Here is a 15303-nt window from a genome sequence, read left to right as displayed (position 1 = left end):
CAGGAGTCAAGGTGAGTGCACACCCTAACTTTGTTACAAAGGCTCTACCCCTACAAACAGAGGAGACTCTTCAGCACCCAGCCGTAACCACCTACTGTCATTCCTGGTGCCTCAGGCTCCGCCTTTCAGCTGTACCCTGAGGTGATTTCTCACATCCTCTTACAGGTGCCCAGGGGACAATCTCTCTAGGAAGACAGGCGACCTGTGAGGCCCTGAAGCACGACCTTAAGAGAAGAGGAGCTGTAAGTCGGCCTTTGGCAGAGCCATCATGGGTGAGTTTATCAGCTGAGGCCACGCACAGCGTCACTCTCTTCCACAGGCCTGTTGGATCCCATCATCCGTATCCCTGTTGATATGTTTACCTGCTGCTCCTGAAGAAGTCGTTATGCCTCTCTTTCCAAGCGTTCCATTCCCCAACTTTGCGGAAGACTCCCAGTACCCAGTTGTAATAGAGGATTGGATAGATGCACAGGATCCCACAGATGAGGAAGAGGAGGAAGCCTCCATTTCCTCTTCTACTTTCTACTTAGTATTTTCCTCCTCTTCCTCCTCCTCATCCTCTTCTCTGATTCTTGGTGGCCCTGAGGAGGAGGAGGTGCACTCTGCTGGGATGTCAAGTCTTCTCCAGAGCACTCCCAAGAGTCCTCCACAGGGTCCTTCCCAATGTCCTCCCCAGAATCCTCTGAGCTCCTGCTCTTCCTCTGTTTCATGCAGCCCAATGAATGAAGAGTCCAGCAGCCAAAAAGAGGAGGATGCAGGACCTGTCCTGGCCTGCCAGACAGTGAGTTCTTTTTCACATATACACTAGATGAAAAGGTGGCCGAGTGAGTGGAGTTCCTGCTCCTCAAATATCAAACAAAGGAGCCTATAACAGAGTCAGAGATGCTGACGATTGTCATCACCAAGTACAAAGACTACTTTCCTGTGATACTCGAGAAAGCCTGTGAGTTCATAGAGCTTCTTTTTGGCCTTTCCCTGATAGAAGTGGGCCCTGACCATTTCTATGTGTTTGCAAACACAGTAGACCTCGCCGATGAGGGTAGTGATGACACGGGCAGGCCTGAGAACTGCCTCCTGATTCTTATTCTGAGTGTGATCTTCATAACGGGCAGCTGTGCCCCTGAGGAGGTCATCTGGGAAGTGCTGAAGGCAATAGGGGTGTATGCTGGGAGGGAGCACTTCGTCTATGGGGAGCCCAGGGAGCTCCTCACTAAAGTTTGGGTGCAGGAACATTACCTGGAGTATTGGGAGGTGCCCAACAGTTCTCCTCCACGTTATGAATTCCTGTGGGGTCCAAGAGCCCATTCAGAAAGCACCAAGCAGAAAGTACTAGAGTTTTTGGCCAAGCTATACAATAGTATCCCTATTTCCTTTCCATCCTGGTACAAGGATGCTTTGAAAGATGTGGAAGAGAGAGCCCAGGCCATAATTTCCACCACAGATGATGCCACTGCCATGCCCAGTGCAAGCTTCAGTTTCATGTCCAGCAACTTCTCCTGTCCTGAATGAAGTCTGGGGTAGTTTCTTCCCTTTGTGTTTGAAGAAGGCAGTTGAGGTCCTACATAGTGAAGGGCCCAGGTGGAGCTGGAGAGAAAACAGCGTTCTCTGCATTTCTGTTTCATGTGGGTGGTTTATAGATTTACCTGTTTTTCTTTTGGTTATTTTCAAATGCTTTTATTTTAATAGCAGGTTTAATTGGTTTCAGAATCTTCGTTTATTAATATTATTTACGTATTGCCATTTATCTGACTTAAAAGTAAGAATTTTATATTTTGTTAAAAAGATGGGAAAACCTTCTCTTATTTTGTGATCTGTAACAGGATAGTGTGGTATTATAATAGGAATTTTCTTTAAAATGTGAAAGTACTCAGCAGTTCAATAGTTGAACAAAATGAAGGATGGCTAATATTTGCATCTCCTCATACCCTTTATTTTCTTGTTCTTAAAAATTAAATATGTATCCCTTGCTTGGCTTGGCATATTCAAAAAAGTAGCAGAAATTAACTCTGAATACAAGAAAGCCTCACTGACTCCTTTATTTGCTGAACATTATTTAAGCATATGCTTTTGGAAGGCACTCTTCATAGTGCGGATAGTGTGAAAAGCATGACTTATCCCTACTGATAAAACAGGAGATTCTTGGAGCAGAAGCCATATCAAGAAGCTGGTAAGGTGCTCTTTACAATTTAAAGAACAACTTAAAAAAGGACTGGGCCGCAATAAACATATGTGTGCATGTGTCTTTATAGCAGCATGATTTATAGTCCTTTGGGTATACCCATACCCAGTAATGGGATGGCTGGGTCAAATGGTATTTCTAGTTCTACATCCCTGAGGAATCGCCACACTGACTTCCACAAGGGTTGAACTAGTTTACAGTCCCACCAACAGTCTAAAAGTGTTCCCATTTCTCCACATCCTCTCCAGCACCTGTTGTTTCCTGACTTTTTAATGATTGCCATTCTAACTGGTGTGAGATGGTATCTCATTGTGGTTTTGATTTGCATTTCTCTGATGGCCAGTGATGATGAGCATTTTTTCATGTGTCTTTTGGCTGCATAAATGTCTTCTTTTGAGAAGTGTCTGTTCATATCCTTTGCCCACTTTTTGATGGGGTTGTTTGTTTTTTTCTTGTAAATTTGTTTGAGTTCATTGTAGATTCTGGATATTAGCCCTTTGTCAGATGAGTAGGTTGCGAAAATTTTCTCCCATTTTGTAGGTTGCCTGTTCACTCTGATGGTAGTTTCTTTTGCTGTGCAGAAGCTCTTTAGTTTAATTAGATCCCATTTGTCAATTTTGGCTTTTGTTGCCATTGCTTTGGGTGTTTTAGACATGAAGTCCTTGCCCATGCCTATGTCCTGAATGGTAATGCCTAGGTTTTCTTCTAGGGTTTTTATGGTTTTATGGTTTTAGGTCTAACATTTAAGTCTTTAATCCATCTTGAATTAATTTTTGTATAAGGGGTAAGGAAGGGATCCAGTTTCAGCTTTCTACATATGGCTAGCCAGTTTTCCCAGCACCATTTATTAAATAGGGAATCCTTTCCCCATTGCTTGTTTTTCTCAGGTTTGTCAAAGATCAGATAGTTGTAGATATGCGGCGTTATTTCTGAAGGCTCTGTTCTGTTCCATTGATCTATATCTCTGTTTTGGTACCAGTACCATGCTGTTTTGGTTACTGTAGCCTTGTAGTATAGTTTGAAGTCAGGTAGCGTGATGCCTCCAGCTTTGTTCTTTAGTATGTTTATTGCGGCACTATTCACAATAGCAAAGACTTGGAACCAACCCAAATGTCCAACAATGATAGACTGGATTAAGAAAATGTGGCACATATACACCATGGAATACTATGCAGCCATAAAAAATGATGAGTTCATGTCCTTTGTAGGGACATGGATGAAATTGGAAATCATCATTCTCAGTAAACTATTGCAAGGACAAAAAACCAAACACCGCATGTTCTCACTCATAGATGGGAATTGAACAGTGAGAACACATGGACACAGGAAGGGGAACATCACACTGTGAGGACTGTTGTGGGGTGGGGGGAGGGGGGAGGGATAGCATTAGGAGATATACCTAATGCTAAATGACGAGTTAATGGGTGCAGCACACCAGCATGGCACATGTATACATATGTAACTAACCTGCACATTGTGCACATGTACCCTAAAACTTAAAGTATCATAATAATAATAAAAAAAAGAAGTACTGGATAAACCCATCCAGAAGCTTATGTATGTCCAGGTTTCCTCTTATGTGAAATAATAAATGCCATTATCATTTAAGAAAAAAAAAGAAAAAGAAAAAAAAGTAGAAGTTTTTTACTTATGTCAGGAGTAAAATAAATAGGAATACCAGTATAGAGCTTTCAGATAGTAAAAGGACAGTAAGGGAATATTATTACAAATTTCATGCCTATAAGTTTTACAACTTTGACGAAATTGAAAATTTCCTTGAGAGATGCAAACTACAAAACCACCTTTGAGAAGAAATAGATCATATGAATATATTATTTGTTAAATTAAATAAACTTATAATTGAAAACAAAACAAAACAAAAAAAGGACTGGGGAGGTTAGATTCCAATGTGAGCCTTCCAGTATAAAGGCCCTGAGCTAAGGCAGCTTGGGGCTTTGGAAAACTGCAGTTGCTTCTGTGGGAGCTGATTGTTATGAAGCTGGGTGTTGGCAGCAACCAGACTCTCAGAAGGTGAGAGAAAAACGTGGAATGGAAAATTGCTCTGAGCAGTTGCTTCTGGGTGGAGGATGAGGCAGAGAGGAGTCTCCACATAGGGAAGTAATGGAAGGTGTCCTGCAGCTCTCTAACTGGTGAGCTTGAACGCGGTGCAAGAACTAGGTGATTGATACCCATCATCTGCAAGGGTTTCCTGAGAAATAGAATGATAATCCCTTGAAGTGCTTCCCAGAACACTCTAGGCTGGCACTCACTTCCCTGGCCTAGGAGAGCCAGAGCCCACTTCATAGAAAGGACATTTAATTAGGTTATTTTGAATGTAAGTTGGCCAACTCTCAGCAAGGGCTATTTTGAGTGGAGGACAAATAAAAGTAGTGGTTTGGATGGACGAGCATTGGGGAAGATGAAAAGGAGTTGGTCCTTGACTCAAATTCTAGGATCACTGAGTTGCATTCCACCTGGGGAATTCTCCCCTTACCCAAATTATACAATATATCATTTCAGAAAGAAAATGTGCTGAGTTTTATTTGTGAAGCTGAATTTTTGGTTGAGTTGGTACTCCATGACATATTCAACTACATATGCTGACATATTTTGGATAACAAAAACAGCTGAATTTTCACAAAAGACAGTGGTAGCCTTTGGGGTTATGATCATATCGATAACAACTGCCATTTGTTAAATTTCCAATATATGTCAGGCATTGTTCCAGGTGTTTTACTCACATTACATCCATTCCAGCAATTCTACAAGGCAGGGCTTATGAAGCCCCTTTTACAGATGAAAAACCTGAGGCTCATAGGGTTTGATAAATTCCACAAGATCGCATCGCTAGAGAGTGACAGGGCTGGGACTCGAGCCTTGCTCTGAATTCATCTAGACTCATACTGTCCCCACTATTCCCAGCCTGAGGAAGGCTCATATCTCTTATTTAATTCCCCAATATCACATTGCTAGAAAGTGACTCGGACTTGAGCCCTGCCCTGAATTTGATCTAGGCCCACACTGTCCCCACTTCTCCCAGCCCGAGGACAGCCTTTAATCTAAGTCAGTTCTCTTCACGCTTCTTAATGTCTCTCAAGTAACATAAAGATGAACCCTGTGGCCAAAGTTGTAAGTTAGGCCTAAAGAATGAAGGTGTGATAATGAGAATAAAGTACAATTCAGGGATCATTATTGGCTTTCTTTACCTAAAGTCCTCCTGTTCTAAGCCCAGGGTTTCTTGAGAACTGACTATGTCCAGGTGCTGGCAGTTTTGTCCAGCCCCAGTACTTTCCCACATTACAGCACTGTCCTTTTGATCTTCCCTGTATGGTCTCTTGTCCAGGGGACTAGCTTGTCACTAGTGTCTCTCCCTCTGAATGCTGTGCCCTGCTCCCAATGCAAAAGCCCTGAATCACCTGCCCTTCCCCAAGATAGACCATTCTTACTCCATGCAGAAGTTCCCTGAGTCATCCATCCCTCCCCCTGAGTCCTCTGTGATAACAGCCCTTCGATGTGACTATTCACTTTGGATAGTGACATTTCAATACTTACCCTGGGCATCTTCAACACACTCTCAATGTATTTCCACATAGACCGGTGAGTAGAATCTGATTTGCCACATAATATACTGGTTTTAGAGATGTAACTCTAAAGTCAGAGATAGGGTATTTGAAAGAATCCTAACATGTGATATTTGTGGTAGGATTTTAATACGAGGCATTATTTGAAACAGTGCACTGAACCCAAACATAGTTGAATGAGCTTTCATAGGTGATCAAAAACCAACGTTTCCTTCATAATCTTTGTAGATGAAGAAAGACTATAAAATCACTTTGTAAATGATCTACTGGAAGCTGAATTTTTTTTAAAAAAACAAAATAATAACAAAATCACAAAGACTGCCTAGGAGGTGACAAGGGTTCCGTGGCAGAGATGCTAGCTCTAATGAGAAAAACCAACAATGGTTAACCATCTTTCCTCTCTCTCTTGTCTGTATATCTGCCTCGCAGGAAAATCCTGGTTTGCAGTATGCCACAGGCACATGTACAGCTGATCAGAAATGTTTAGTCATGTGGAGGGAAGCAGAGGCTCTCAGAGTAGGATATTTGTCATACACCAAAATGAATGAGAAAATTTTCAGCCTAAAGAAATCATATAGGTTATAAAAAGGACAGTGCAGAAAAGTGCTATTGAGGGAATAAGGTTGACCCTCCCTGCCAAGACTTAAGGAATTGTTTTAAAGCTAGATGTAATCCTGTATTTCAAATTGCCAGTCACCTCATAAGAACAAGAATAAGTTGGAAGATTTCAAGGCAATGCTAGCATTCCCATAAACCATTCCAATAAAATAAAAGACTTACTGTCATGAATTATAAAAGCTGCTTTTAATTAAGCACCATAATGGCTTATGGGAGAGATTACAAGTGCCCATCGCTTTTTTGTCTACCTTGTCTTCCTGAGTGGTTCATTTGTAGTTAGACAGAAGCCAGTGCATCATTCGAATGCTTTCATGTCTGTTTAAGAGTTAACATATGTTGTGATTTGGAGCTATGGGGTAAAATCAGCTTGGATTCCTGGGTGACATGAGAGCCAGGATCCACTGTGTATTAGTTTATTATACCATAACAACATACCACAGACTGGGTGACTTAAAAATGGAAATGTATTTTCTCACATTTCTGGAAGCTGGATTATCCAAGATCAATATGTTGGCCAGTTTGATTTCTTCTGTGGCTTCTCCTTGGCTTGCAGATGACAACCTTCTCACTGAATTCTTATGTGGTTGTCCCTTGGTCTTTGTGTCTGTGTCCTAATCTCCTCTTCTTATAAGGACACCAGTCATACTGAATCAGGTCCTACTTATAAGACCTTACTATATCTTAATGGCCTCTTCAAAGGCTCTACCTTCAAATACAGTGACATTCTGAGGTACTAGGGGTTATGACCTGGATAAATGAATTTGGGAAGAGAGCTGCAATTCAGCCCGTAGCACCATGTCAACTCAGGTTAGAATTTATGTGCACAAAAATAAACTTGGGTTAAGCCATTTTAATTTCAGCAATTTTTTTGTTCCATCAGCTTACTGTTACTTTATCTGACTACTACACTGCTCCTCTTCCTTTTCTTGGACTTACTTTAATATTTTTTCTTCTAAATAAATACTGCATATATTCTTGTTGCAAAAATTTCTTAAAATACATAGAAATCACATTTCTTTCCTTTAGAAAGTTTCTCCAAAATTCAGCCCCCTACTCAGAAGTTTCCACAATTAACAATGTGGTATGTAAATTTTAAAAGATTATTTTAGGCTTTTAGAAATACAGATGTGCTAATATATATATGCAAATATTATATATAATAGCACACATGTATATGCTGTGTATATATATATACATGTATACATATAAAACTATACATGTGTAATAATATGCATATAGATCTGCTGCTTGCCTTTGCTACTATTATAGGTTCAATTTCATCTTCTCCCAAATTCTACATTGAAATTAAAATGTGACATTATTTAGAGATAGAATTATTTCAGATGCAATTAAGTTAAAATGAGGTTATTAATGCTGGCCCTAATCAAATATGATGGGAGTCATTATAAAAAGGGGAAATTTAGACACAGAGATGAATAGAGGGATGACAATGAGCACGCATGGACTGAAGACAGCCCATGCCTCCACAAGGCAAGGAGAGAGGCCTGGAAAACATCCTTCCCTCACAGCCCTCAGAAGGAATCAACCTTGCGAATGCCTTGCTCTTTGACTACCAGACTCCCAAACTATGAGACAATAAATTTTTGTTGTTTATGTCATCCAGGTTGTGGTACTTTGCTATGGCAGTCCTAATAAACCAACATAATCACTTATTAAAATGGATCTGGCCGGGCGCGGTGGCTCATGCCTGTAATCCCAGCACTTTGGGAGGCCGAGGCAGGTGGAACTCCTCACCTGAGGTCAGGAGTTCGAGACCAGCCTGGCCAACGTGGTGAAACCCTGTCTCTACTAAAAATACAAAGATTAGCTGGGCATGGTGGCTTACACTTGTAATCCCAGCTACTCGGGAGGCTGAGGCAGGAGAATTGCTTGAACCCGGGAAGCGGAGGTTGCAGTAAACCCTGATCGTGCCACTGCACTCCAGCCTGGGCGACAAGAGTGAAACTCTGCTGCTAAAAAAAAAAAAAAAAAAAAAAAAGGATCTAAGATCTTTCCATGACAGCACATACAGACTAAGATCTTTCCATGACAACACATATAGATCTATCTCACTATTGGGACTACTTCCTAGAATTCCATTTTATTTCTGTGCAATAACCAATTGAACAATTTTCCTCCTGATGAACACACACGTGTTTCTCTTTTGTGGCTATAATTAAAATAAATAAATTCAACATATTTGAGCATAAATTCTGGGACAAATGCCTATAGTTCCTTATAAGGAATGCACATTCATATGGAAACTGAGTCAGTGTGAACAGAGTATGAATATCTTATACTTCATAATGTTGGTGGCTTTTTCCCCAAAATGTTTAACCAGTTAATTTCCCCCATATTTTTGTCTATGGGGAAACCATTTATTCACAAACGTATTTTATCACAGTTTTAAATATTGGTCAAACTTATGGGTGCAAACCCTAGGTGACTTGGTTTTGGTGATGAATTTTGTAGATGCAACATCAACGTTTTGGTCAAACTTATAGATGCAAATCCCGGGTGACCTTGAGTTTTATGATGACTTTCTCAGATGCAACACCAAAAGTACCAACCATTTGAGAAACAAGAGATAAATTGGACTTCACGACAATTAAAAATTTCTACTCTGAAATGACACTGCTAAGATAATGAAAAGACAAGCCAGAAACTTGGATAAATGTTTTGTGAAACACGTTTGATAAAATATATGTATTCAAATATGCACAAAACTCTGAAAACCCAGCCATCAGAGAATAGAAAACCCAATTTAAAGTAGGCAAAAAAAAAAAATCGGAACGGGCACCCCACCAAAAAATAAATATATAGGAATGGAAAATAAGCGTATATAATAAAACTGTTCAATGTCATATAACATTAGAGAATTGCAAATTAAAGCACCTAGGAGATAGCACTCTACACCCAGGAGAATGGCTGAATTCCCAAACACTGAAATGTCAAATGTTGACACATATGTTGAGCAACAGGAACTTTCAGGCATTGTTTAAGTGGGAAAGACCTGGAGGAATCATGTAAACATATTGCTAAGAGAAAGAAGAAAATCTAAACAGGCTACATAATGTATGATTACAATCATACAATATTCTGGAACAGGTAACTATGAATACACTAAAAATAGTAGTGGTTTCCAGGGCCTTAGTGGCTGGGGTTGAGGCACAGGGGATTAAGAAATAGGTGGAGTACAGGAGATCTAGGATGGTGAAACAATTCATTGTGATACTGTGATGAATACTTGCCATTACACACTTATCAAAACTTTTAACATCTCCAAAGTTAGGGAGCCCAGATGTGAGCTGTTGACTTTACTTAATAATGAGGTATCAATACAGGTCCATCTGTTGTAGCAAACATGCCATAATAATACAAAATATAAATCATAGGAGACACTGTGCGTGTGTGTGTGTGTGTGTGTGTGTGTGTGTGTGTGTGTGTGAAGTGGGCAGGGCAGGAAGAGTGGTGTACATATGTAGGAACTCTGTAATTTTTATGAAATTTTGTTTTTTTTTTTTGCAGTCAGAGTGCAAATCATTATTAGGTGGATTTGGAAGGTCAAAGATCCAACACCAACATAGTTTGGATTTTAAGCACAAAAACTCTATTTTCTGTAACAAAGCACAGTTTCTTATTTCAAAAAATCCAGTCTTTCTTTTTTTTTCTTGGTAAGATGATTCTTTTCTTTCTTTCTTTTTTTTGTTATACTTTAAGTTTTAGGGTACATGTGCACAACGTGCAGGTTTGTTACATATGTATACATGTGCCATGTTGGTGTGCTGCACTCATTAACTCATCATTTAACATTAGGTATTTCTCCTAATGCTATCACTCCCCCTCCCCCCACCTCACGACAGGCCCTGCTGTGTGATGTTCCCCTTCCTGTGTCCATGTGTTCTCATTGTTCAATTCCCACCTATGAGTGAGGACATGCGGTGTTTGGTTTTTTGTCCTTGCAACAGTTTGCTGAGAATGATGGTTTCCAGCTTCATCCATGTCCCTACAAAGGACATGAACTCATCCTTTTTTATGGCTGCATAGTATTCCATGGTGTATATGTGCCACATTTTCTTAATTCAGTCTATCATTGTTGGACAGTTGGCTTGGTTCCAAGTCTTTGCTATTGTAAATAGTGCCGCAATAAACATACGTGTGCATGTGTCTTTATAGCAGCATGATTTATAATCCTTTGGGTATATACCCAGTAATGGGATGGCTGGGTCAAATGGTATTTCTAGATTCCTCAGGAATCGCCACACTGACTTCCACAATGGTTGAACTAGTTTACAGTCCCACCAACAGTCTAAAAGTGTTCCTATTTCTCCACATCCTCTCCAGCACCTGTTGTTTCCTGACTTTTTAATGATTGCCATTCTAACTGGTGTGAGATGGTATCTCATTGTGGTTTTGATTTGCATTTATCTGATGGCCTGTGATGATGAGCATTTTTTCATATGTCTGTTGGCTGCCTAAATGTCTTCTTTTGAGAAGTGTCTGTTCATATCCTTCGCCCATTTGTTGATGGGGTTGTTTTTTTCTTATAAATTTGTTTGAGTTCATTGTAGATTCTGGATATTAGCCCTTTGTCAGATGAGTGGATTGCAAAAATTTTCTCCCATTCTGTAGGTTGCCTGTTCACTCTGATGGTAGTTTCTTTTGCTGAAATTTTCTCTTTATATTTTTGGATTAACAGTGCTCTAAAAATGAAGTCTATTAGTTTTTAGAAATATGCACATCATTTGAACAGATACTTTAGCAAAGAGGATATACCATTCAGAAAGAGGAATATAAAAAGATGGCCAACATAATTTGTTATTAGGAAGATGCACACAAAAACTAAAGAAGATTCCAATACATGCTTATTAGAATGGCTAAAATTCGAGAATCTAAAATACCAAATATGAGCGGATATGGAACAACAGGAATTCTCGTTCCCTGCTATTTGTGATGAAAAATGATACAGCTAGGTTTATAAGTCAGTATTTTATCAGCCTATTCATAATGACAAATTTGGAAAGTTAAAACCGTAGGAACTGAAAACAGAGCAAAGTTGCTAGGGACTTTGGAGAAGTGCAGTGTTTGACCTCAAACGGAATGCACAGTGGAATTTTAGGTTGATTGAACTCATCATTATAATACTTGAATGGTAGATGTGGACCTCCATGCATTTGCCTAAATAAATAAAGCTTTACATAGCAGTTAAATTTGATGTATGTATTTAAAATGTTTATTTAACTTTTATCTTAAACTCAGAGATGCAAGTGTAGGTTTGTTACATATGTCGACTTGTGTCATAGGGATATTTGTACAGATTATTTCATCACCCAGCTATTAAGCCTAGTACCCATTCATTATTTTTCCTGATCTTCTCCCTCCTCCCACCCTCCACCCCCGCCAAAGACCCTAGTGTGTGTTGTTCCCCTTTATGTGTTCATGGTGTTTTCATCATTTAGCTCCTACTTATAAGTAAGTACATGCAGTATTTGGTTTTCTGTTCCTGTGTTTGCTAAGGATAATGGCCTCCAGCTCCATCTATGTCATGGATTGGATTTTCAAAAGGATCATAGCCTGCTGAAAAGACAGTGGATTTTACAGGGACAATGATAGAAAAAGTAGCAACAACAAAGGCGCCTTTAGCCTAGCCTAAGTGAAAGAAAATATTAACTTCACACACAGCAGTAGTAATGGAGATTGAAAAAGTGGAAGGATTTGAAATGGATTTTAGCAGTTGAAGGAACAAAGTTGCTGTTGGTTTTGATTTGGGATAAGGTAAATGTAGGCATCAAGCACAACAGGAAAAACTCTGCCATCTTTGATGTTAACAAAAATCAAATTGAGCCATACTTTGTTCTTTCAATTTTTTGTCAGCCTTCATGTGTATTTTGTAACCTGTCAGAAACATGCACAAATGTTTCTTCTTCTTTGAAATCTGGGAATTCCCTCCCTTCCTGCAACCCTGTGCCCAACAATTCTATATTCATGGCAACTATGGTACACCTTCACTGGCAGAAGCAGCATGTTCACTGAAGGATGAATCTAAAGTGAGAATAAGGGACTGAAGGTGAGTCATTTGGGGGATGTTTAGAGAATGGTTGTGTTCACTCATTTCAAAGGTCCCTGACACGCCCCACTGATGCCATCACAAGAACCTTAGTGCCTCTTGCTTCTGGACAGGAGACTTACTTCCAATAGCAGTAGGTAAAATGATAGACTGCCATTTTCTTTTCACCTTCCATAAGAAGTGCTCCTTTCTTGGGACCTCAGAAGAACAACTCCATGTGGATAATTTCCAAGGACATGGGGCCCAGAGCTGGAACTCAGCCTACCAGCTGCCTCCCAGTCTGGAAGATCTTCCTTCTCTGTGGGTTTCCACCTTGAGCACTGAGGTTTGATACACCAATCCTGGCTGTGAGCAGAGGCCAACTGCCCTTGGGACCTTGAGCCAAAGCTGAGGAAGGAAATCAGCTCATGAACGGCTGAGTTGATCCTGGCCATAGTGGATGGAGAGAAGCCCAACCCTCAGTGAAATCTCTGGCAAAGCCATATGTCAACCTCTTTTGGAATCTCAGGGCCCCTCAATCCTTCTGAGGGCTCTGTCAGGAGTAAGAACAGCTGAAAGGAAGTATGTGGAGCTCTTATCCATGTGGAGAGGGAGACAGGCCTCTACTCCTATTATGTGGGCAACCTGGCACAGCCATTATGTCAGGAAAGTGTTTGTGGACCTGGTCAGGGTGTCTATCATCAACACGACATCCCTCTGTCATGACTTTCTGGAATAGAGCTGCTAAAGTTACATCTCTTAGATCCCCAGAGTTCCAGAGGTCAGCAGGAGGATGGGTCAAGTCAGAGGGGGAATTAATATGTCATTATCCCAGGTAGCATTTCCCCAGCCACTATTGATTCCCAAATCCTGCTCTCAGAAAGCAAAGGCTCATTAAAGTAGCAAAGCCTTCTATGGCTGGGACAAGGGGGCAGAAAGAGCTGCCATTTCATCTCTTCCTCTTTGACTCATATCATCTTGTTTCCTTCTGTTACTGGTGTGACCAATGACCCCAGCCTGTTTCAGTTCTTTCACCTCTAGCCTTACTGATGCTCTAATTTACTCTTACTGCTGACTCACTAAAAGATCATCTATACAAAGTCTTATTTGTTTTTTCATGTATGTTTGTGTATATTTGATTTTTTTAATAGGAAGCTGAGGCAGGAGAATCGCTTTAACCTGGGAGGCGGAGGTTACAGTGAGTCAAGATCGCTCCACTGCACTCCAGCCTGGGTGACAGAGCAAGACTCCGTCTCAAAAAAAAAAAAAAAGCACACAATATCTGTGAGGTGTGATAAAGCAAAGTGCAAAAAAAATGAAATATGCCTATAATATGAAAATTCTAACTGTGAAATGTTGATAAAGTTACCTATGTAAACTATGAAACATGAGCCACAACTTTACCTATTAAAAAGTACTACAAAATCTCAAGTTTTCATGAAGAACAAGAAGGAAAAGTTATAAACACCCTCACAAAACTGATGATTCTTTAATTTCATCAGATGTTCTGCCCATCCCACCAGGCCATGTTGAAATACTTGTTTTTATGGGCATGAGAGCACTCACTTGGTATTGCTTGGATTTTCTGCTTATTTGTTCAGTTTTTTTACCCCATGGTCAGCTCTATTTTTAAAATAACTCCAGTTATTTTAAAAGCAAGCAAACAGTTGTATAATTGTATTCCACAGAAAAACTCTGAAAATTTGCTCAGTGAATAAATTGTACTTGTTGATAAAAAGGACTAGGAAACACCAAGTATTTCATATCTCTCTTTCTCTCTCTCTCTCTCTCTCTCTCTCTCTCAAACACACACACACACACACACACACACTCTCTCTCTCTCTCGTTCTCTCTCACAAAACCTAGGGCAAAAATATAGCCATTATCAACATGGGAAAGTGTACATTTTCTAAACTAGACTATTTCACAACATTTAAAATTTATAAAAATAAATAAAATTACCAAAACAAAACAAAAACAAACAAAAAAAGTAAACATTTTTAAAGTAGGTTTTGAATTTGTCTGTAATTGCCTTTTGTGTATAGCGTGAAAAAGGGGTCCACTTACACTAGAGTTTTTATATGGATATTCAGGCGTTCCAATGACACTTATTTCAACAAGACTGTCTCTTGCGCTAGAGCTGCACATTTTTTTTTTATCAGTTAAGTGTGCGTTTATACATGTTTTGTTGGTTTCATTTTTCAGGACTCTCCATTCAGTTCCATTGGTCTGTCAATCCCTGCACCTAAATCTCAAACTCTTAATTGCAATAGTTTCTTTGTAATTCCTAATATCTGGTAGACTTATTGCTCTTTTTCAATAGTGTATTGACTATACGTGGTCCTCTGAATGCCTTCATATTTTAGAATCAGGTGATTAATACATGCATTTATGTCTAAAGCCCTTTGGTTGTTTTGATTTGGGATTGCAATCAATCTGTGGATTCCTTCTTTGGGAGAACTATTGAAACTTCATGGCCGCGAATTTATTTTATTTTATGGTCATGTGAATCTTCATTAGTATCTTAAAATAACATTTTAATGTTTTTTTTTTTCTGTAACTTTTATTTTGGTTAAGTTTTTTAAGATACTTGATATTTGGTATAATAGTTTAGAAGTTATATTTACTTTCATTATCATACTTATTGTTGCCGCAAGAAAATGGAGTTCATTTTTTTGTTATTGATTTTATACATAGGAAACATATATTTTCATCTATTGATAATCTTAGCCATGCCACTGTTGCTGGTTGTATGCCCATTTGAGTATAGACGCTGCTGCCACTGCCCCACTGAAACACTTTAGCCAGCAACCGCCATCAGAGTGTTGTTGCCGGTGGACAAGGAGCACCTCAGCATTTCTAGCATAGCAGTTGCCTAA

General features: G+C 39.6%; 1 pseudogene, besides 2 other annotated features; it reads left to right on the top strand.

Moving 5' to 3' along the window:
* Positions 318–1705, top strand: LOC392555 (MAGE family member C2 pseudogene; annotated as a pseudogene).
* Positions 5498–5792: a silencer, noted in NCBI's record as "tiled region #13710; HepG2 Repressive non-DNase unmatched - State 24:Quies". NCBI's record gives its function as "represses a minimal TATA promoter and a strong SV40 promoter by Sharpr-MPRA in HepG2 cells {active_cell/tissue: HepG2}" and the evidence as "EXISTENCE:reporter gene assay evidence [ECO:0000049][PMID:27701403]".
* Positions 5498–5792: an enhancer, noted in NCBI's record as "tiled region #13710; K562 Activating DNase matched - State 24:Quies". NCBI's record gives its function as "activates a minimal TATA promoter and a strong SV40 promoter by Sharpr-MPRA in K562 cells {active_cell/tissue: K562}" and the evidence as "EXISTENCE:reporter gene assay evidence [ECO:0000049][PMID:27701403]".

Source organism: Homo sapiens, chromosome X, assembly GCF_000001405.40.
Source record: "Homo sapiens chromosome X, GRCh38.p14 Primary Assembly".
NCBI lineage: Eukaryota > Metazoa > Chordata > Mammalia > Primates > Hominidae > Homo > Homo sapiens.
This window is presented reverse-complemented; position numbering and strand designations above follow the sequence as displayed.